We start from the raw sequence: 22,484 nt of genomic DNA on the forward strand, positions 1-22,484 counted from the left end.
CCATCATAGGCATACATTTCTGAGTCTTCATCCCAGAGAACAGCTCCTCTCTAAAGGGGAGGTGTAGGGTGGCTGTGAGTTCTGAGTTTGCCCCTGGGGAGGAAGCACCTGCTCCACCATGTGCACAGGCCTGTAAGCAAGAGTCCAACTTTGTTGAAATAGGAACCATTTGAGTTTGCTTCAGGCCTTGCTGACCTCAGAAGTTTCACATTGTCCCCTGGTGACCTCTTCACAATGATGTTAGTGGTGATGGAACAATGCAGGACAGAAGGCCTTCCTTACTTTCTTTCAACAAAAAAATGGTGTATTATCTAGCCTGACAGTACCCTAGCTGGAGACAGTGAAAATAATTTACATTTTAAACAAATAATGTTTGTTATTTTTTCAATCTCATGAGTGTAAGATAAAAGTAATCCTATCTCAATACCAAAACAAACAAACACGAAAAACCAGAATCTGAGGAGACTGAAGTGTGTTGATTGAGAGACAGTAAGAATAACTTAGTCCAGCTCCCCTGCCTGGCTGTGAAATCCAATGATCCAGTGTCCCACTCTACAGACAAACCTACAGGTTTTTCACCCAATGCAGACAGAAGACATGGTATTGAATTCATGAGTCCCCGCTGAGAGTCACAATAGGCTGGTGTGGCACAATGCATTATGGGAGGCACAGAATGAAGGGACAACATGTATTCAGTGGATTCTGCTCTCTTATCAGACTGAGTCACTGCACAGACTGCTCACAGGGTTTCTCCACTGCATTCTGCCTCACATAAATAAACACCAAGAGCCATAGGATATTAGTCAATTATATTTTCTCCTTCAGTGTCATACTTGAGATCTCTATCATATTTGAAATTGGACTCAGAGAGCTTCAATTATTTTGTTGCAATATATATTATCTTTACAAAAATTACCTAGACTACTGTGTTTCTGAAAAATAAATCTTACAATTTATTTTACTTCCATGATGGTATTAAACTTGAATGGTTAGCATATCAGCCAGTAGTGTGTCTGGGGCTGGACAACAGAGAGTGTTTGGGGTCCATTCCTGAAGGGTGTGTGTGTGCTCAGAGCTGGCATCATCCACCTATTCTGACTCCTGCCCTCTGCTAAGTCCTCACAGCTGTGAACTTCCAAACCCCTGGGACAACACAGCTCCACTCCTGCTCATTCCCCTGATCCCCAAAGGCACAGGGCCCTGATCCTGACCCAAACACAGAGTGGGATCAAAAAGCTGAGAGGTTGTCACTTGCATAGGTGGATTTTTTTCCTCAAAGAGTATAAAGAGAGGGAGAAAGATTGGGAGAAGCTCTGCGGTAGCTGTAGGCACAGAAGGCAGGAATCAGGCCAATCTCCACCATGGACTGGTCCCCTCTCCTCCTCATACTCCTCACTCACTGTACAGGTGACTAGACACAGGCCCAGGGGAGGAGCCCTGGGAAGCCCAAGGGACTCTGCTTTCTCATCTTGTCTCTAGAACAGTATCACCACTTCTGTGTCTCTTCCACTTCCAGGGTCCTGGGCCAAGTCTGTGCTGACTCAACCTCCATCAGTGGCAGGGGCCCCAAGATAGAGGGTCACTATCTCCTGCACTGGAAGTGCCACCAGCACTGGGGGTGGTTTTCATGTTAATGAGTACTAGCAGCTCCCAGGAATGGCTCCATAGCTCCTCATTTGTGAAAACAGCCATTGGCCTTCAGGGTTCTGTCCTGGTTCACAGGCTTCGCTGAGCATTTCTGGGCTCCAGTCTGGGGATAAGGCTGACTATTTTTCTTTATCTTGGCACACAAGCATTAATGCTCACACAGAACTGTAGGCCACCGGGGAAGGAAGACAAAGATATGCTGTCTTTCCAGTGACAGAGTTTCCCTGTGCAGCCCCCAACCCATTCACCAAATAAGTGCTTAACTGTGATTTTTTTTGGTGGACAAAATGTGGAGTATGAGAAGCACTGAAGCAAACATGGTCTAAATAATGTTTCCCAGTCCTCTCTCAATTCTACCCCCATATCCAACCCTTGGCAATAATAAATTGTCATACTGTCATATATTGAAATAAATATCTATATTAGTCCATTCTCACATTGCTATAAAGAACTACCTGAGACAGGGTAATTTATGAAGAAAGGCTCACAGTCTTTAATTGACTCACAGTTCTGCAGGCTGTACAGGAAGCATGAATTGGAGGCCTCAGGAAACTTACAATCATGGAGGAAGGACGAGGGGAGCAAGTACATCTTGATATGGCAGAGCAGGAGAGAGAGAGAAGGGGAAATACTACGCACTTTTAAACAACCAGAACTCACAAGAACTCACTCATGATAGTGAATCTTAAGAACAGCAAGAAAGAAATCTGCCCCCACGATCCAATCACCTCCTACCAGCCCCTCCTCAGCATGAGATTTGGGTGGGGACACAGAGCCAAGCCATATCAATTCCTCAATACCAGGGTCAGGCTTCCCTGGGAACCAAGTCCATCATGGATCAGGACAGGACCAGGAACACAGCACCCACTGTGTCTGACCAAAGAGCCTCAACTGCCAGACGTCTGTCCATCCACACCATTCAATTAGCACCTACTATGTGCCAGCCTTAGGTCTAGGGGCTCAAGAAACAGGGTGGACAAGACAGGAAGTGTCCCTGTCCTCATGGACCAGACACCATCTGGTGGAAGAGATGAGACAATTGAGTAATAATATCAATACAATAAGATGTCATCACTTAGTGAGGAGAGGAGAGGAGAGCTCAGTAATGGTGGTAGAGGAGCCATCAGAGGGTTGGACAAGGAAGACAGAGGATCTGAGCTAAGTTTGTGAAGAAAAGTCCAGATGCCTCAGACAAGATGGACAAGGAGGTGGGAAGCATGATGGCTGTGGGTCCAACTAGGGTCACTGGGGGAGACTGTTTATACCCAGCATATGTTTGTGGGGAGGAGGGACTGAAGCCTGGGTGAGGGGAGAGGGCTCAAGGCTGGCCTTAGGACATGGACAGGATGGTATTGAGTCACGCTGCAGAAGGAGCCTTCATGGGCAAGGGGGCTGGGGGAGGCCCTGAGCTCATTACTCCAACGGAAATATCAAACTGCCTGTTAGCCTTTGTCAAAGGTATCAAAGAGACTTTTTCATTCAAGATGGCAAGAGAGGAATCTCCCTCTTAGACTTCTTTGAGATATTCTTTCTTCATGACCGTTTCTTGCCCCTGGATGAATGCTCACATGGGAGCAAATTACCTCCTCAGTCCCAGGATTTCAATTTGCACACAATCCCCCCAGAATGATCGAGACCTGCCATCCCTGACCCACTGATCAGGAATTCTGGCCTTCAGGACAACTTGACCAGATCAGTCACACCATGTCCCCTGACACCATCGTGGTGACTGGGGTGAACTGTCAGACTGGTTTGGGTAATACATGTCCTGTCCCTGGAGTTGCAGAACCTGTTCAGAAAGATAATGGTGTGGATGGAGGGAGGCTAATTCCAGCCACATCAGAAAGCAAGAAAGACATGGAGACCACCCTTGAGCTGGCACAGCATCCTTGGGTCTCACATGTGTCTCTAGCGACTGGAAAAGGAACTCAGATTTAACTAATTCTATTTTCTCATCTGTCACTCTCCCTTTCACTACTGACTCCTGAAGCCCCAACAAAAGCAGCACTATGGGATTATGGTCATGGAATAGAGGCCTTGCTGCTGAACTTTTCTTTTTTATTCTAAAAAGTACAACACAGATAATGCATATTAACTAAAAATTATAAAAATGTATTTAAATGATGTGACAATGAATGTATAAGGGGTTAATAGGAGAAAATAATAAACAATGTTAAAAAATACAAAATACCAATACACTATAAGAGTTATACTATGTCATGGATTGTATAAATCAGTATTGTAAAGATGGCAGTGTCCTAGGATTAATCCATCAAATTAATATAAGTGTAATTAAAATTTCAGTAATATTTTAGGAAACTGCTTAACTTATTTTAAAACTCAAATTGAAAATTGAGATAAAAATTACCTAAGATTATTTACCAAAAATTTGTAATGGAAGTGATACCAGATATTGAGTTATTTGACCAAGCAATATTAGCTAAAATCATGCATGATTGAGATCTTGACATTTACATAATTCTCTTAAAAATTAGAGTAGATAGGACTGATGATTTTTTATGTGACCTTGGAAATATGGCTAACTCTGTTCATAAAATTAAGTAGAGTACCTAATTCATACTTTTATTAAAAAATCCAAACAGATTTAAAATATAATTTAGAAAAGAAAAAGTTTAAAAACTTTAGTTTGGAAAAATAGAAATATTATTTTTATTTCATATGAGAAAGTACTTCTTAAATAAACCCAAAAGTCAATTCATAAAAGAAAATTTGAAGTATTTGGTTGCAATTATTTGAAGCTTTTTTTTTCCCAAAGAGGACCACAGTTGGTAAAAAGAGAGAAGGATATGCAAGAGTGGAAAGACATTGGCAAGGACAAAGTATTGCTGTTTGCATCCAGAAGACAACTTTGAAATGAGCGAAGACAGAAAAAAAGGAAACCCAGTAAAAATGTTCAAAGGACACAAACAAGCCATTCACGGGTCTCAAAATGAGAGCAGATAAATGTGACATCAAAATATGTTAAATTCCACCAGAGACAAAGAGAAGGGAATAAGATCTTCAAGTAGAAATTGTGGAATGAGCCAAGCATGTCTGTGCATGGGGAGCTTTCCAGGCCTTGCAAAAAGCAAAGAGAGTAAGAAAAGAGCAAGAAGGGAGTGAGAAGCCCTTTTGTAGAGAAACCAAGAAAAGAAAGTTTAGAGTGTTAGAGCCTGGGCCAGAAAGATAAAAGAGAGAGAAGAGGTAGATAATGTGGGATTTGAGTGACCTTTGATTCCTGTGGGCATACTTCTGAGTAAGACATGAAGCCACTGAGGGTGGAAAGCTGTTAAATGATATTGCAAATTTAAATAAAAAAAAAAGATGCCAGTGAGGATGTGGGGAATCCCAAACTCTCACTCACAGCAGGTTGTAAAAACAAATTCAGCTATTTTGAGCAAAGTCCCTCAGCACGAAGATACCTTAAGAGGGTGAGCATCTGTCTTGCACCAAGTCCACTCTGTACAGAGACACAAGGAAATGTTTATGAGAAGGTCCTTACTAGGGGAAAAGTATAAAAAACAAGCTAGTTGTCAAACACAAGGGGAATTTATAACCTGCAGTTAGCTGATGGAATGCTAACTAGTTGGAAGTAATAAAATAAAAGTATTATTATGAGTTTCAAAGGCAATAAATATATAAATAAAATTAAAAAGCCAAGAGCTAAAGAAATAAATTATTTTAAAATATGAACATGCACTATAATTTTTTTTAAGTTTATACCATGAGCTATTTGAAAGTTAGACTGGAAGCACATTATATACACTTATGTAAGAGCCTCTGAAAAAGATGGAAACACATACGAAGGTTAAAAGATAATTTAAAACAATAGAGAGTTATTTCAGTAGCTGAAGATATGAGTGCCAATAAAATGAATGCGATTCAACCCTGTGAGCATTGCTTTCATAAAAAAATTAAAACAGAAAATGAATATTAATAGATGACTTAAGTGAAATCACAATGTATGTGGTGATACAGCTGAAAGACAAACGTTTTGTTAGTAAGAAGGGCATCGCTAAGCCTGATGAGTGCTTTGTTTAGAATTCCCAGCTACCCTGGATTCCTCTCCAACCTCATGAACAGCTTCAGAAAAGAGGATCAGGACAACCGATGCTCCTCTCATTGAAATGCCCGGATGTGGCAGAGAGGCAGGAAATATTTTGGGTCTGAGGACAGTGAGGATCATCACTGAGATGATCCTGCCCAAATGAAAACCACTCAGGGCCTCCAAGGGAGTTCAGCCATCAGCTCACTGGACTAGGTTTGGGATGCAACACTGACCTGCCCCGACCCAGAGTCATAATGAGCCAGGCCACCTCCACCCACTGGGTCAGCTCATCTCCTCTTTATCTTTTCTCCTTCTGACCTGTGAGTACCCAGATCAGGGTGGACAAGTAAGAGACACATAGCAAGGTCTTATGTGAATACAGTGACTCTACCTTACGACGTTTTTGGGAGATACAAAGGTACTTAGAGGAGCTCAGTTTCCAAAGCAGTGCTCCAGGAAGCTGGAAATCTGCACTATGCTCTGGGCTCCTCTCCTCCATCTCCACCCTCACTATTCAGGTGAGAAAGAACCTTATGTCGGGGGATCCACACCCAGCTCTGCTCCATACCCCCTCACTCTCTGGCTCACTGGGTTGTAAACCTGCTCTCATGGCCCTCTCTGTCCCCCTGCAGTGTCTGTGGCCCAGGCAGGGCAGACTCAGCAGCTCTCTGTATCCAAGGGCTTGGGATAGACAACCACACTCACCTGCACTGGGGACAGCAACAATGTTGGCAAAGATGGAGCTGTCTGGCCGCAGCAGCACCAGGGCCATGCCCCCAAACACCTGATCAACAGGAAAAACAGCCAACTCTCAGGGATCTCAGAGAGATTCCCTGGCTCCCGGTTAGGAACATGGCATCTCTGACCATCTCTGGCCTCCAGACCAAGGACAAGCCTGCCTATTACTGCTCAGCCTGGGACAGCAGCCTCAGTGCTCACACAGCGCCTCAGGGGAAGTGAGACGAAAACTCAGGAGCTCCCCTAGCTTCACTCGGTATGCGGGGGCGTCATAGAGCACTGTTTAAACTAAACCAAAAATGACAAGGGCTGGTTTCCACGTGACAAAGTGTGTGCTATTCAAAACTATTAAAAATAATATCATAAGTTAAAATAACTAAATCTGCAGTATTAATGAATATTTATAGGAAACATTGTTGTGAATATATTTGTGGCTAGATACTTACATGAACATACACATGCATTAATCAGTAGTAAAAATGAATGCAAGGGTAAACTAAGGAAATATTTATTTTCCCAGATTTTCCTTCTCTTTTATTTGGAGATGCTGGACTAAATGCTCAGAGGTTCCGGTGGTCTGCCTTTGAGTGTGTGTTCAGCAGGGTCACCTCAAGCTTATCCCACCTTCTTATGACCTGGGCCCATGCCTGTCCTCTCATTAGAATCCCCTTTCCCTCTGTCACAGAGCTCTCTTTATTCCTTCTACAGACCCAGACTTGTTCCTCACACTTAGTTGAGGCTTCCTGGGCCCCACGTCCCTGTTTGCCCCCAACACCCACACAAGACAATGATCCCATGTGTGTGCTCTTGTTGTGCCCTTTCCTTATCCTCTGACATACCTCAGGCAGTATCTGGAAAGAACAAATGAAGTGGGAGCGTTAGCTTGTAGTTGAAAATGATTTTTGATATTTTGGGGAAAATATCTGGTTTAAAGATAGTTTTCCATCGAGATAAAAATGCATGTGTGACAGCACCACATTTCTAATGGCGGACCAAAGCCCCCCACATCTTTGCCCCCCACATGGCTCCAGGGACATTGACTTGTTAATATACAACCCAGGAGAGAGCACTGTGTCCTATGCAACTGCAATGCAGAGGCAGGTTTCTGCCCGCTCCTCCAATGAAGTGAGTAGCAACCCCAACCCCATCTTCACCCATCATTTAGATGACCCCCATACAACCACAACATAGAAACACATTGATCAAAGGGCCTTTTTCTCTTTGCAGAGACCCCTATTTGTTTATTTGGCATGTGAGATTTTAGACTTTTACCAACAATTAAAATATACTTTATTAGAAAAGTTACACTTCTTAAGAAACTCTGATTCTTACTGTGAAGTTAATACCTAATGCATCCTATAAGCATAGTAAGTGGAAAATTGTTCTGTAAGGAGAAGATTAATCAATGAAATAAAATACAAGTATTTGAGAGCAATCTAATAGGTAAAAGATTAGAGGACATAATTGTGAATGCCAGGTGCAATATAAAGGAAATGTGGGCCGGGCATGGTGGCTCAACCCTGTAATCCCAGCACTTTGGGAGGCCGAGGTGGGCGGATCACCTGAGGTCAGGAGCTCGACACCAGCCTGGCCAACATGGAGAAACCCCATCTCTACTAAATATACAAAAATTAGCCAGGTGTGGTGGTGCATGCTTGTAGTCCCAGCTACTCAGGAGGCTAAGGGAGGAGAATCACTTGAACCCAGGAGGCGGAGGTTGCAGTGAGCCAAGATCACACTATTGCACTTTGGCCTGGGTGACAGAGTGAGGCTCAGCCTAAAATAAAATAAAATAAAATAAAACAAAGGAAATGTGAATACCTAGAGTTGATTAAATTGTGGCCCCTCACCTTCAACACTCGAAAAGCTCAGAGTGGGTAGAAAAGCTTGTTGAGTTATCTTCTGATGTCATTGACAAGATAAATCAGGGACAATAGAAGGAATATGTGGAAAGAGGTGCCAGAGGCTAGAGGGGAAAGTGTGAAGTAGCCAGCAGAGAGGAGCCTGCTGGCTGACTACTTGTGTTAGTAGTAGCAGGTGGTGTTGACGCCATCTCCCAGGGGAAAACCCTGGGAAACAGGAAAGCTAAAAGCAGGCTCACCATCCTCATCCCTAACAGAACCACTGAAGTGAGCACACCAGAGTGTGGGGTTCCCTCCCGGCTCTTCAGATGACATTGTTATTTGGCACCAAGCTGATGTTAGTATGTTCTTTATAAATATATATTGCACAAAGAATTGCATAAAACCTTCAATAATTTAATGAGGACTTTCTCACTTAAAAAGGTTTTTATGTCTCTTCTGTGGCCCCCATAGGTAGCCGGGGATCCCTCACTGCATTTCAGTCTGACAACTCATCACATGGACAGAGTCCACCGTGTGTGACTGTGTGTCTGTGATAATAGGTGGCAAAGCTTCACTGTCATAGCCGCACCTGCTTCATTGCCTGGTGCTTGCCTTTCTGAAATAGGAAAATAAACTCTTACCAATGTGTCATAATTAGGTTCTATTTAAAATCTCCTACCAAAGTTAAGAGCAGCCTGCACAACTGGTCCACAAAATGAGAAACCTCCAATTTATTTGGACTCTTTTCTCTACCCTACCCAGTGATCCAACTGGTCACCAGCCATGTGGATTCTCTCTCCAAAACGCTTTTAAATTCAACTCTCCTGTTTACTTTCCATTCTCATGTCTTATGTCAAATATTCATGTCACTTACCTAGTTCTGATCAGTTCTCTGGCTCCATGGACAGCTCCCCCAACTCTGCCTCCCTGACCGTCTCTGGGCTGCGGATTGGAGATGAGGCTGACTTCTCCTGTCAGTCTCATGATGAAAGCTACAATCTCACAGTGCTGCAGGCCCATTGGGCAGTGACAGGAAAACTCCCCAGAGCGCCCTCACCCTGAGTCTGCCATCAGCCTCTCCCCACCAGCATGGGTTGCTTTTTCCTGTCCCCTGTTTGAATGTTTGAATTCAAATTTTCTGTTTATGTGTCTCTCTATTTTCTTTCCAAAATACACAACTTTTTCTTTCTTGTCTTCATGGATGGTTTTTCTGGTCCCTGTGAAATTACTTTATGAAGAATATTTAGTTTAAAACATGGCTTCTGAACATTGTCATTTTAACATTGTGCACTGGGTCATTCATTGTGTGAGGGGGGCTGTTCTGTTCATGGTTGGACATTTATAAGATTATTGGGACTCACACATCAGATGCCTATAGCACCCTAATTCCCAAATTCTAACAAACAAGCAAAAAATGTAGACATTGCAAAATATCCTAGGGAGACAGCACTGCAGAATCACCCTTGTCTGAGAACCACTGGATTAAAAGGACATGGTTTCACGTATTGGGCAGCCTTTTGTGTTGAACCCTCCTTATCCCATTCCACTGAATATAAGGCTACATGCATTATATCTCGATAGTTCCAAATTTCCTCTTAAACAAATGTGTGGGATACAACTCCAAAGGTTATGTTGACAGATGAATAATCCTCTGAACACCATTAGTTCAGAAAACCTGCTACCCAATGTACAGCATCTCTTGCTGACCAGAGTGTGGAGTGAAACATTTGACCAAACTGTGTGCATAATTGCTAATTCAAATTTTTAGGTAAAACACCTAAAACATAACACATTCTTCTCTACTTATCCTCTTAGGGGTTGCTTTTCAAGCATGGTGTACAAAATTATGACAAGGCCTCGTATGTGTGGAGTTTACATTTTAGAATGGGTAGACGACAGTAGACAAGAGCAGCCTCAGAACTGAGCAGTCAGTGAAGTCCTTTTTTTAGCCCTAGCGCTGGATGCAAATTTTACCAGCTGCCATTTGTGTTTTTGGGCTTGCTCCACCCAGTACAGTCCCCATGAACTGCATGTTGATATGTATATTTCAAAGTTAATTAATTAAAACTAAATAAACTTTAAAAAATATTCCTCAGCCACACCAGCTTCATTTCACCTGCCTCCTGGACTCATGCTCTCCATCCATGGCTCTCATGCTGGAGAGTTCAGACACAGGGCATCTCCACCATGGCATAAAGTTCTACTGCAGAGCACAGTCTGTGACAATCTATTTAACACTTCCTTAGGCCAGTTTCTTCATTACCTGTAATGGGGATATAGTAACACTCAAGTTCTCTTCACAGTCTGGAACACTATTCTCTGTGGGAGTATTACCTCGGCCCCTTCTTCCTACAGAACGGAGGAGTGATAATGTAACTAGTATTGGCCAATAAGATGAACAGAAATGAGAGGTGTAATTTCTGAGCAGTAGATGTAAGATTAGCCTGTGCTTTGTCAAGTTCTATCATCTCTGACGTAACACCCACAGTGTTCTCACAGAATTCTCTCAACCATCCTGCATCCTGGGATGAAGGTGAAGTGAACTGAAGCCCCAAGCATTTCAATCAGAGATGGGAATGGTGGAGGAGTGAGAAATATACATTCGTTGTGAGTCACCAAGATTTCTGTCAATTTCTCACTGCATCCAAGCCTAGCCAGTACTGAGTGCTATGGAAATTATAAGTGAATGTGGGGAGCCACAATGACAAAATTAACATCTATCTATAAATATATATAATATATATTAATTACATTATATCATATACTAATATTAATATATAATAAATATATAATATATAACACTTACATATTATATAAGTATATAATATATAACACTTACATATTATATAAGTATATAATATACAATAATTAATCTATATTACATATAATATATTAATATAAATATATATACATAATTTGATTTGATGCAATACTGTGAACATTTAGTAGACTACGGAGATTGCATGATGTTTCATTTTATTCATTGGCAAATATTTAATTAAGCTGTCACCATAATAAACATTAAAACACACAGAATTGACAAAATAATTCTCCTGAGCTGTGGATATACAAGTTAGACAACTGATTAGAAGCATAGGTTCACTCCTGTGCCATTTGTGGAATTTTTACAACTTATTTACTTTAAGTGATGATTTTAAGCATAATTGGTTTTTGTTCTTGCTTTTTATTTATTCAAGCAGAAGAAAGACACAAGAATGATAACCCACATACATACAGAGTAGTAGAATGGCAAGAGCTAATTATTCTCAAACACAAATTCTTAAAGATAAATGTAAAATATTTGAATTAAACATTTTGCTATCCAAAAAAAGGTATGCCGTTTTTTTCCTGAGTACTCCAGGGCAGGAAAGTATATTCATCAATCCCCCTGGTGTCCGCTTTCTTAACACATTGTTCATATTGGTATATATTTTTTTCTTATTACTTAACTTACTCATCCTATATATTGTGTTTCCTAAATATATTTCAAATTCATTCTCAGCCTTGTGATTTCCCTCGCCCTCATTATGTCCCATGTCCTGCTGGGGCTCCCCCATACCACCCCTCTCCTCATCTGTAATGCCCCCTCCCAGTTCCTGCCCTCCTGGGAACTGCTGTGCTCTTTTCTGCCCTGAGCCTTGTTACCTCCTTCTTGTACTACCTATTTGTCTCAGTGAGCTCCTCTTCCATTCTTCAAAGGCTCCAGAGCCCTAGAGAAGAGCATCATCTCAAAAAATTTCCCAAGAAGCTGCAAGTAATGAGAGTGTCTAAGACCACTCTTTCTGCTTTATGGCAATTTTATATTTAACGTGGTATTGAGTCTTGCTGAATTTTCAGTCTGAAGTCATAATGTGCTCAAATATACAAATTCCAGAGACACAGAGCAGAATGGTGGCTGCCAGGAGCTGAGGGGAGGAGGAAATGGGGAGTTGCTGGTCAACAGGTGTAAAGTTTTAGTTATGCAAGAATATGTTATAAAGATGTGCTGTGCAACACTTATCTAAATATTAATTATTAATCAAACAAAAAATTCAAAATTATTAACACACATTTCCCCCTGGGTTTACTGGACAGATGATTTTATATTTGTCTCTGCTAAGTAGACTAAGGTGTAAGGATTTGGCACGAAAGTTGTAAACCACAAACCCAGCCAAAAACAAAATATTCTTTATACAGTTTTTCAATAAATAAAATTAATTTAATATTGCTAGTTTAATAAAATAGCTGTGTCTTCTAAGTTATAGATAAATTTTGCATATTTTTCACTTTAAGGATCTTACTTAGGTAAACAACTGCATATACCAACTACTAATATTACTAAGAAAAAATGATTTAGAGAAATAAAAATAATTTTCTTGTGTCTCAGTTTTCACATATAATCTAAATAAATTTTTAAGTAACTAAATTAGATGAATATAAATGAAGTAAACACTTCTATCTAAACTTTTTGTATAATTTAAAATCTTAAAAAATAAATTAAATAATAGGTACTCTTAAAAAAGTGTAGGTCATTTAAAATTAAAAATATATATTTTGGATATAGTTATAAAAATATTAAAATAGTTCTCATGTATAAAAGATGAATTTATGAGAGACAATTCAAAGTTTCTTACATCCTAGGTTTTGAGTAAAAATTATTGTTAAAATAATTAAAAATTCTAATTAATATATAATTCAATATATAAAATAAGACAAAAATAAAAATACTAAATATATGTTTTTAAGTTAAAAAAGCAAAGTCATAAAATATATGCTTTATTAAAATAATTTTGCCAAGTTAAGATGTTATATAATGGTTACTTATAAAGCAATATAAAATAAATTAGAGAGATATAAAATATTATAAATATAGATATCTTTTTGTAAAAAACATTAGAACATAATTTTATATTGAACAATCTTATATAATTTTTGTCCTAAAATAAGATGATTTACTATTTTAAGAAGACAAATCAAAATGTCCCAACAAGTCTTAGTCTATGTAAATTATAATAAAATACATTTGGGAATTATGTCCCAACATATCTTACTCTATGTAAATTATAGTAAAATACATTTGGGAATTATTTAATAAAATTAAGTATAATTAACAGGACTATAATTTTAAAAATTATGTCTTCCTAAATATTAAACTTTAATATTGAAAATACACAAATACAAAACTGAATATTTTGATTTTCTATGTCCAAACACAGTTTTCTTAATATTAATTTACTCTAAATAAAAGAGTTAAACATTGATTTTTAATTTTAACATCTATTTCTCTTTAAAACTTCTCAAAATTACACTTCAAAAGTTCAAATTTTGTTAATATTTTCACACATAATTTACAGACTTTTATTGTCATACCTTTCAAAAAAATGTAATTTTTTTACTTCACTGGGACAATAACTCTTTTCTTTAACCTTTTTTTAAATTATTATACTTTAAGTTTTAGGGTACATGTGCACAACGTGCAGGTTTGTTACATAGGTATACATGTGCTATGTTGGTTTGCTGCACCCATCAATTCCTCATTTATATTAGGTATTTCTCCTAATGCTATCTCTCCCCCAGCCCCCCACCCCCAAACAAGCCCTGGTGTGTGATGTTCCCTGCCCTGTGTCCATGTGTTCTCCTTGTTCAACTCCCACTTATGAGTGAGAACATGCGGTGTTTGGTTTTCTGTCCTTGTGACAGTTTGCTTAGAATGATGGCTTCCAGCTTCATCCATGTCACTACAAAGGACATGAACTCATCCTTTTTTATGGCTGCATAGTATTCCATGGTGCATATATGCCACATTTTCTTAATCCAGTCTATCAGTGATGGACATTTGGGTTGGTTCCAAGTCTTTGCTATTGTGAATAGTGCCATAATAAACACACACGTGCATGTGTCTTTATAGTAGCATGATTCATAATCCTTTGGGTACATACCCAGTAATGGGATGGCTGAGTCAAATGGTATTTCTAGTTCTAGATCCTTGAGGAATCACCACACTGTCTTCCACAATGGTTGAACTAGTTTACAGTCCCACCAACAGTGTAAAAGCGTTCCTATTTCTCCACATCCTCTCCAGCATCTGTTGTTTCCTAACTTTTTAATGATCAACATTCTAACTGGTGTGAAATGGTATCTCATTGTGGTTTTGATTTGTATTTATCTGATGACCAGTGATGATGAGCATTTTTTCATGTCTGTTGGCTGCATAAATGTCTTATTTTGAGAAGTGTTTGTTCATATCTTTTACCCACTTTTCAATGGGGTTGTTTGCTTTTTCTTGTAAATTTGTTTAAGTTCTTTGTAGATTCTGGATATTAGCCCTTTGTCAGGTGGGTAGATTGCAAAGATTTTCTCCCATTCTGTAGGTTGCCTGTTCACTCTGATAATAGCTTCTTTTGCTGTGCAGAAGCTCTTTAGTTTAATTAGATCCCACTTGTCAATTTTGGCTTTTGTTGCCATTGCTTTTGGTATTTTAGTCATGAAGTCTTTGCCCATGCCAATGTCCTGAATGGTATTGCCTAGGTTTTCTTCTAGGGTTTTTTATGGTGTTAGGTCTTTTTTTTTTTTTTTTCTTTGAGACAGAGTCTCGCTCTGTAGCCCAGGCTGGAGTACAGTGGCGTGATCTCGGCTCACTGCAAGCTCCGCCTCCCGGGTTCCTGCATTCTCTTGCCTCAGCCTCCCAAGTAGCTGGGACTACAGGCACCTGCCACTGCGCCCGGCTAATTTTTTTTTGTATTTTTAAATAGAGACGTGGTTTCACCGTGTTACCCAGGATGGTCTCGATCTCCTGACCTTGTGATCTGCCCGCCTCGGCCTCCCAAAGTGCTGGGATTACAGGCGTGAGCCACCGTGCCCGGCCATGGTGTTAGGTCTTCATTCAAGTCTTTAATCCATCTTGAGTTAATTTTTGTATACTGTGTAAGGAAGACATCCAGTTTCAGCTTTCTACATATGGCTAGCCAGTTTTCCCAGCACCATTTATTAAAGGGGGAATCCTTTCCTCATTGCTTTTTTTAGTCAGGTTTGTCAAAAATCAGATGATTGTAGATGCGTGGTGTTATTTCTGAGGCCTCTGTTCTGTTCCATTCGTCTATATATATGTTTTGGTACCAGTACCATGCTGTTTTGGTTACTGTAGACTTGTAGTATAGTTTGAAGTCAGGTAGCATGATGCCTCCAGCTTTGTTCTTTTTGCTTAGGATTGTCTTGGCTATGCAGGCTCTTTTTAGGTTCCATATGAACTTTAAAGTAGTTTTTTCCAATTCTGTGAAGAAAGTCAGTGGTAGCTTGATGGGGATAGCATTGAATCTATAAATTACCTTGGGCAGTATGGCCATTTTCATGATATTGGTTATTCTTATCTATGAGCATGGAATGTTCTTCCATTTGTTTGTGTCCCCTTTTATTTCATCGAGCAGTGGTTTGTAGTTCTCCTTGAAGAGGTCCTTCACATTCCTTGTAAGTTGGATTCCTAGGTATTTTATTCTCTTTGTATTAATTGTGAGTGGGAGTTCACTCATGATTTGGCTCTCTGTTAGTCTACTATTGGTGTATAGGAATGCTTGTGATTTTTGCACATTGATTTTGTATCCTGTGACCTTACTGAAGTTGCTAATTAGCTTATGGAGATTTTGGGCTGAGATGATGGGGTTTTCCAAATATACAATCTTGTCATCTGCAAACGGAGACAATTTGACTTCGTCTTTTCCCAGTTGAATACCCTTTATTTCTTTCTCTTGCCTGATTGCTCTAGCCAGAACTTCCAACACTGTGTTGAATAGGAGAGGGCATCCTTGTCTTGTGCTGGTTTTCAAACAGAATGCTTCCAGTTTTTGCCCATTCAGTATGATATTGGCTGTGGGTTTGTCATAAATAGCTCTTATTATTTTGAGATATATTCCATCAATACCTAGTTTATTGAGAGTTTTTAGCATGAAGGGCTGTTGAATTTTGTCGAAGGCCTTTTCTGCATCTATTGAGGTAATCATGTGGTTTTTGTCGCTGGTTCTGTTTATGTGATGGATTACATTTATTGATTTGCATATGTTGAACCAGCCTTGCATCCTAGGGATGAAGCTGACTTGATCGTGGTGGATAACCTTTTTGATGTGCTGTTGGATTTGGTTTGCCAGTATTTTATTGAGGATTTTCGCATCAATGTTCATCAGGGATATTGGCCTAAAATTCTCTTTTTTTGTTGTGTCTCTACCAGGCTTTGGTATCAAGATGATGCTAGCCTCCTAAAATGAGTTAGGGAGGATTCCCTCTTTTTCTATTGATTGAAATAGTTTTAGAAGGAATGGTACCAGCTCCTCTTTGTACCTCTGGTAGAATTCGGCTGTGAGTCTGTCTGGTCCTGGACTTTTTTTGGTTGGTAGGCTATCAATTATTGCCTCAATTTCAGAACCTGTTATTGGTCTATTAAGAGATTCAGCCTCTTCCTGGTTTAGTCTTGGGAGGGTGTATGTGTACAGGAATTTATCCATTTCTTCTAGATTTTCTAGTTTTCTTGTGTAGAGGTTCTTATAGTATTCTGATGGCAGTTTGTATTTCTGTGGGATGGGTGGTGATATCTCCTTTATCATTTTTTGTTGTGTCTATTTGATTCTTCTCTCTTTTCTTCTTTATTAGTGTTGCTAGCGGTTTATCAATTTTGTTGATCTTTTCAAAAAACCAGCTCCTGGATTCATTGATTTTTTGAAGGGTTTTTTGTGTCTCTATCTCCTTCAGTTCTGCTCTGATCTTAGTTATGTCTTGCCTTCTACTAGCTTTTGAATGTGTTTGCTCTTGCTTCTCTAATTCTTTTAATTGTGATGTTAGGGTGTCGATTTGAGATCTTTCCTGCTTTCTCTTGTTGGCATTTAGTGCTATAAATTTCCCTCTACACACTGCTTTAAACGTGTCCCAGAGATTCTAGTACGTTGTGTCTTTGTTCTCATTGGTTTCAAATAACGTCTTTATTTCTGCCTTCATTTCGTTATGTACCCAGTAGTCATTCAGGAGCAGGTTTTTCAGTTTCCATTAGTTGAGTGGTTTTGAGTGAGTTTCTTAATCCTGAGTTCTAGTTTGATTGCACTGTGGTCCGAGAGACAGTTTTTTGTGATTTCTTTTCTTTTACATTTGCTGAGGAGTGTTTTACTACCAATTATGTGGTCAATTTTAGAATAAGTGCGATGTGGTGCTGAGAAGAATGCATATTCTGTTGATTTGGGGTGTAGAGTTCTGTAGGTGTCTATTAGGTCTGCATGGTCCAGAGCTGAGCTCAAGTCCTGGATATCCTTGTTAACCTTCTGTCTCATTGATCTGTCTAACATTGACAGTAGGATGTTAAAGCCTTCCATTATTATTGTGTGGGAGTCTAAGTCTCTTTGTAGGTCTCTAAGGACTTGCTTTATGAATCTGGGTGCTCCTGTATTGGGTGCATATATATTTAGGATAGTTAGCTCTTCTTGTTGAATTGATCCCTTTACTATTATGTAGTGGCTTTCTTTGTCTCTTTTGATCTTTGTTGGTTTAAAGTCTGTTTTATCAAAGACTAGGATTGCAACCCCTGCTTTTTTTTTGCTTTCCATTTGCTTGGTAGATCTTCCTCCATCCCTTTATTTTGAGCCTATGTGTGTCTTTGCACATGAGATGGGTCTCCTGGATACAGCACACTGATGGGTCTTGACTCTTTATCCAATTTGCCAGTCTGTGTCTTTTAATTGGGGCATTTGGCCCATTTACATTTAAGGTTAATATTGTTGGGTTTGAATTTCATCCTGTCATTATGATGTTAGCTGGTTATTTTGCCTGTTAATGATGCAGTTTCTTCATAGCTTCAATGATCTTTACCATTTGGCATGTTTTTGCAGTGGCTGGAACCTGTTGTTCCTTTCCATGTTTAGTACTTCCTTCAGGAGCTCTTGTAAGGCAGGCCTAGTGGTAACAAAATCTCTCAGCATTTGCTTGTCTGTAAAATATTTTATTTCTCCTTCACTTATTAAGCTTAGTTTGGCTGGATATGAGATTCTGGTTTGAAAATTCTTTTCTTTAAGAATATTGAATATTGGCCCCCACTCTCTTCTGGCTTGTATGGTTTCTGCTGAGAGATCCACTGTTAGTCTGATGGGCTTCCATTTGTAGGTAACCTGACCTTTCTCTCTGGGTGCTTTTAACATTTTTTCCTTGATTTCAACCTTGGTGAATCTGACAATTATGTGTCTTGGGATTGCTCTTCTTGGGGAGTATCTTTGTGGTGCTCTCTGTATTTCCTGAATATGAATGTTGGCCTGCCTTGCTAGGTTGAGTAAGTTCTCCTGGATAATATCCTGAAGAGGGTTTTTTTTTTTTGGTTTTTTTTGAGACAGAGTCTCCCACTGTCACCCAGGTTGGAGTGCAGTGGTGCGATCTTGGCTCACTGCAAACTCTGCCTCCTGGGTTCCCACCATTCTCCTGCCTCAGCCTCCCGAGTAGCTGGGACTACAGGCACCCACCACCATTCCCGGCTAATTTTTCATATTTTTTGGTAAAGACAGGGTTTCATCATGTTAGCCAGGAGGGTCTTGATCTCCTGACCTCATGGTCTGCCCACCTCGGCCTTCCAAAGATCTGGGATTAGGAGGCATGAGCCACCGCACCTGGCCCTGAAGAGTGTTTTCTAACTTGGTTCCATTCTCCCCGTCACTCTCTGGTACAACAATCAAACATATATTTGGTCTTTTCCCGTAGTCCCATATTTTTTGGAGGCTTTGTTCATTTCTTTTCACTCTTTTTTCTCTAATCTTGTCTTCTTTGTTTATTTCATTAATTTGATCTTCAATCACTGATATCGTTTCTTCCACTTGATTGAATCGGCTATTGAAGCTTGTGCATGCGTCACGAAGTTCTCATGCCATGGTTTTCAGCTCCATCAGGTCATTTAAGGTCTTCTCTACACTGTTTGTTCTAGTTAGCCATTCGTCTAACCTTTTTCAAGGTTTTTAGCTTCCTTGCGATGGGTTAGAACATGCTCCTTTAGCTCAGAGAAGTTCGTTATTACCGACCTTCTGAAGCCTACTTCTGTCAACTCGTCAAACTCATTCTCTGTCCAGTTTTGTTCCCTTGCTGGCGAGGAGCTGTGGTCCTTTGGAGGAGAAGAGGCACTCTGTTTTTTGGAATTTTCAGCTTGTCTGCTCTGGTTTCTCCCCATCTTTATGGTTTTATCTACCTTTGGTCTTTGATGTTGGTGACCTACAGATGGGGTTTTGGTGTAGATGTCCTTTCTGTTGATGTTGATGCCATTCCTTTCCGTTTGTTAGTTTTCCTTCTAACAGTCAGACCCCTCGGCTGCAGGTCTGTTGGAGTTTGCTGGAGGTCCACTCCAGACCCTGATTGCCTGGGTATCACCAGCATAGGCTGCAGATCAGTAAATATTGCTACCTGATACTTCCTCTGGAAGCTTCGTCCCAGAGGGGCACCGCCTGTTTGAGACGTCTGTCGGCCCCTACTGGGAGGTGTTTCCCAGTCAGGTTGCATGGGTGTCAGAGACCCGCTTGAGGAGGCAGTCTGTCCATTCTCAGAGCTCGAACACCATGTTGAGAGAACCACTGCTCTCTTCAGAGCTGTCAGACAGGGACGTTTAAGTCTGCAGAAGCTGTCTGCTGCCTTTTGTTCTACTATGCCCTCCCCCAGAGGTGGAATCTACAGAGGCAGTAGGCCTTGCTGAGCTGTGGTGGGCTCTGCCCAGTTCATGCTTCCCTGCCTCTTTGTTTACACTGTGAGCTACTCAAGCCTCAGCAATGGCAGGTGCCCCTCCCCCCATCAAGCTGCAGTGTCACAGGTTGATCTCAGACTGCTGCACTAGTAGTGAGCAAGGCTCTGTGGGCCTGGGACCTGCTGAGCCAGGCAACGGGAGGGTATCTCCTGGTCTGCCGGTTGCTAAGACTGTGGGAAAAGCGCAGTATTTGGTCAGGAGTGTACCATTTCTCCCAGTACAGTCTGTCAGGCTTCCCTTGGCTAGGAAAGGGGAATCCCCCGACCCCTTGTGCTTCCCGGGTGAGGTGACACCCCACCATGCTTCAGCTCTTTGGGTTGCACCCACTGTCCAACTAGTCCCAATGAGATGAACCAGGTACCTCAGTTGGAAATGCAGAAATCACCTGTCTTCTGCGTCGATCTCACTGGGAGCTGCAGACCAGAGCTGTTCCTGTTTGGCCATCTTGGAAGAGACCTTCCCTGTGTATTCCGAGCCTTCTGCATTCTGCCATCACTGCAGCCTCCTCATGTTGGATGGACCTGATATTTTTGCTTTTCTAGTAATTCAGAAATCCTCAGTGGAAAGGCTGTTTATTAATATGAGTTATCTCCAGACAGGGCAAAGGTGTGGTCTATGGATGCTGTGGATTAGCAATGACCAGGCTCTCAGGTGACTCCACTCATGTGATTTTCACAGAAAGACTGCTGTCTGGCCAGTGAGCAGCACAGGGCACTGTGAGTCACACTCAGTGTCTGCACAGTGAAAACCCAAAACTTGCCACCCCCCCCAAACTCCCCAGGGCTGGGTAGATGGAGTCTGCACTCACTGACACAGATTTAGCAGCTAGATATGGTCCCAGCACCCCCACCTTCTTCCAAGTCCTGTGTGCCAGACACCCCGACAACAGCTCCCAGATACTGATAAATCCATCGGGAGAGTTGGGGGTAGGCAGTGGGAGCAACACACTTGCATCCATAACCCCTCCTTTGTGAGGCCACTGAAGGGGATAAGAGAGGCCTGGAGAAGCCATTCCAGCTCTGGACCTCAGGAGGGCTGTGTCCACTGTGACCTGGGCACCTATTCTCCTGTGATATTCTATCATTTCTCAGGTAGGGACAGGTCTCACGTCCTGGGGAAGCCCCCTAGCCTGAGTTCTTGCCCTGTGTTTCACTCTCACCCTTTGTCCTGATTCCTCACCCACGATCATCTTTGCTTGCAGGTTCCCTCTCTCAGCCTTTGCTTATTCAGCTGCCCTCCCTCTCTGCACATCTGAGAAATGCTATAAGACTTCCCTGTACCCCAAGTAGTGGCTGCATTGTTGGAGGCTGTCACATATTCTTGTACCAGCAGAAGTCACGGAGCCTTCCCCAGTATCTCCTGAGATACTACTCAGACTCAAGTAAGCACCAGGACTCTGGGGTCCCCAGTCACTTCTGTGAATCCAAAGATCCCTCGGGCAATGTGCAGGGATTCTGCACATTTCTGAGCAGCCTGAGATCAAGTCCGACTATTACTATTTTACATATCACAGCAACAGTGGCACTTTCACTGTGCTCCAGACTTACGGGGAAGTGAGATTAGAACCTCCCCTGCATTCTCTCTGCCTTGTGCAGGCAACAATACACTGTCTGGGACCGAGTGTGGCTCATCAGTAGCAGCTTTGTTGTTTGTATTTTTCATTCTTCAGTACAGGGTGGGACCTTTCTACTGGCCTCCATTAATAGTGAGAGTCAAACAAGACAGTCTGTGGGTGACTCCAAAGTCTAACTCAGGGTTTCCTTATGTTAGTTAGCTTGGACTACTCTTGGCTCCTCCCCAGAGATCTCAACTTCTCTGGAATTCTCCAGGTGCCACAAGCACTGATTTCAGTCTTGGCCTTGCACCTCCCCTGAGCAGCTTCTGACTCTCCTCTCATTACATCTCCATTTATGGCCTGTCACCCACTCAATGTGTTAAAAGGTAAAGCATTTTGCAAAGTACTTATCCTGAACTTTAGCCCCAAATCCACCCAGCTTCCCTAGCCCAGGCCAGCTCTGCTTCTTATGAGGCTGATGAGAGGTACAAGGGCTGCGACCCTTGCTGAGTCCATTCCTGAAAATGCCCCCAATAAAGCCTGATTAGTGCCAATGCCACAGGACATTGTTCTGTTTCCTTTGCAGGTGGTGCCCAGTGAGGAAAGTTCTTCCTCCTGAATATGAATATTTTGGAGCATGAAACAGCTGAGCTGATCTGGGGAGGGGAGGCAACCCCTTGTGATGGTGGTCAGATTGCTTGGTTGGGATTGTCACAGACCATGTGATAATGGGATTATATTGCATATCACAGATGCCCTGGACCCTCAAGTGTGCTGGGGAACTCTGGTTAAAGAATAGAAGTGATCCCTTTGTTCATATTCACTATGCTGGATGCCCTTTTGAGATCCCTGCAGGACGCTAACCCTCTGACTGCAGCAGCCTTGCCCTTTGATCTGAAGCTTTTATCATACATTGTCCTGCTCAGGGGATTT

General features: G+C 41.3%; 3 pseudogenes and 1 further gene across 1 annotated transcript in view, besides 3 other annotated features; 3 read left to right on the forward strand and 1 right to left on the reverse strand.

The window, feature by feature from the left end:
- PRAMENP (PRAME N-terminal like, pseudogene) overlaps nt 1-6,653 on the reverse strand; it is a 52,836-nt pseudogene extending 46,183 nt beyond the window's left edge. The window contains exon 1 of the transcript NR_135291.1: nt 6,401-6,653. The product of NR_135291.1 is annotated as a PRAME N-terminal like, pseudogene (transcript). The remainder of the gene's footprint in view (nt 1-6,400) is intronic.
- The window catches only part of IGL (immunoglobulin lambda locus), an 896,838-nt gene that overhangs the window by 11,206 nt on the left and 863,148 nt on the right, over nt 1-22,484 (forward strand).
- Nucleotides 29-178: an enhancer, noted in NCBI's record as "active region_18719". NCBI's record gives its function as "activates an Ori minimal core promoter by ATAC-STARR-seq in GM12878 lymphoblastoid cells {active_cell/tissue: GM12878}" and the evidence as "EXISTENCE:reporter gene assay evidence [ECO:0000049][PMID:35858748]".
- IGLV10-67 (immunoglobulin lambda variable 10-67 (pseudogene)) lies at nt 6,171-6,633 on the forward strand (annotated as a pseudogene). Its single transcript is given in 2 exon segments — nt 6,171-6,213; nt 6,328-6,633. Coding segments are annotated over 2 exon segments (349 nt in total).
- Nucleotides 19,716-20,479: an enhancer, noted in NCBI's record as "NANOG-H3K27ac-H3K4me1 hESC enhancer chr22:22411410-22412173 (GRCh37/hg19 assembly coordinates)". NCBI's record gives its function as "activates a minimal SCP1, AML or CMV promoter by ChIP-STARR-seq in primed H9 embryonic stem cells {active_cell/tissue: H9 hESC(primed)}" and the evidence as "EXISTENCE:reporter gene assay evidence [ECO:0000049][PMID:30033119]".
- Nucleotides 20,480-21,243: an enhancer, noted in NCBI's record as "H3K27ac-H3K4me1 hESC enhancer chr22:22412174-22412936 (GRCh37/hg19 assembly coordinates)". NCBI's record gives its function as "activates a minimal SCP1, AML or CMV promoter by ChIP-STARR-seq in primed H9 embryonic stem cells {active_cell/tissue: H9 hESC(primed)}" and the evidence as "EXISTENCE:reporter gene assay evidence [ECO:0000049][PMID:30033119]".
- IGLVIV-66-1 (immunoglobulin lambda variable (IV)-66-1 (pseudogene)) lies at nt 21,198-21,524 on the forward strand (annotated as a pseudogene). The gene is given in 1 exon segment: nt 21,198-21,524. A coding segment is annotated over 1 exon segment (327 nt).

The sequence above is a fragment of the Homo sapiens genome, chromosome 22 (assembly GCF_000001405.40).
Source record: "Homo sapiens chromosome 22, GRCh38.p14 Primary Assembly".
NCBI lineage: Eukaryota > Metazoa > Chordata > Mammalia > Primates > Hominidae > Homo > Homo sapiens.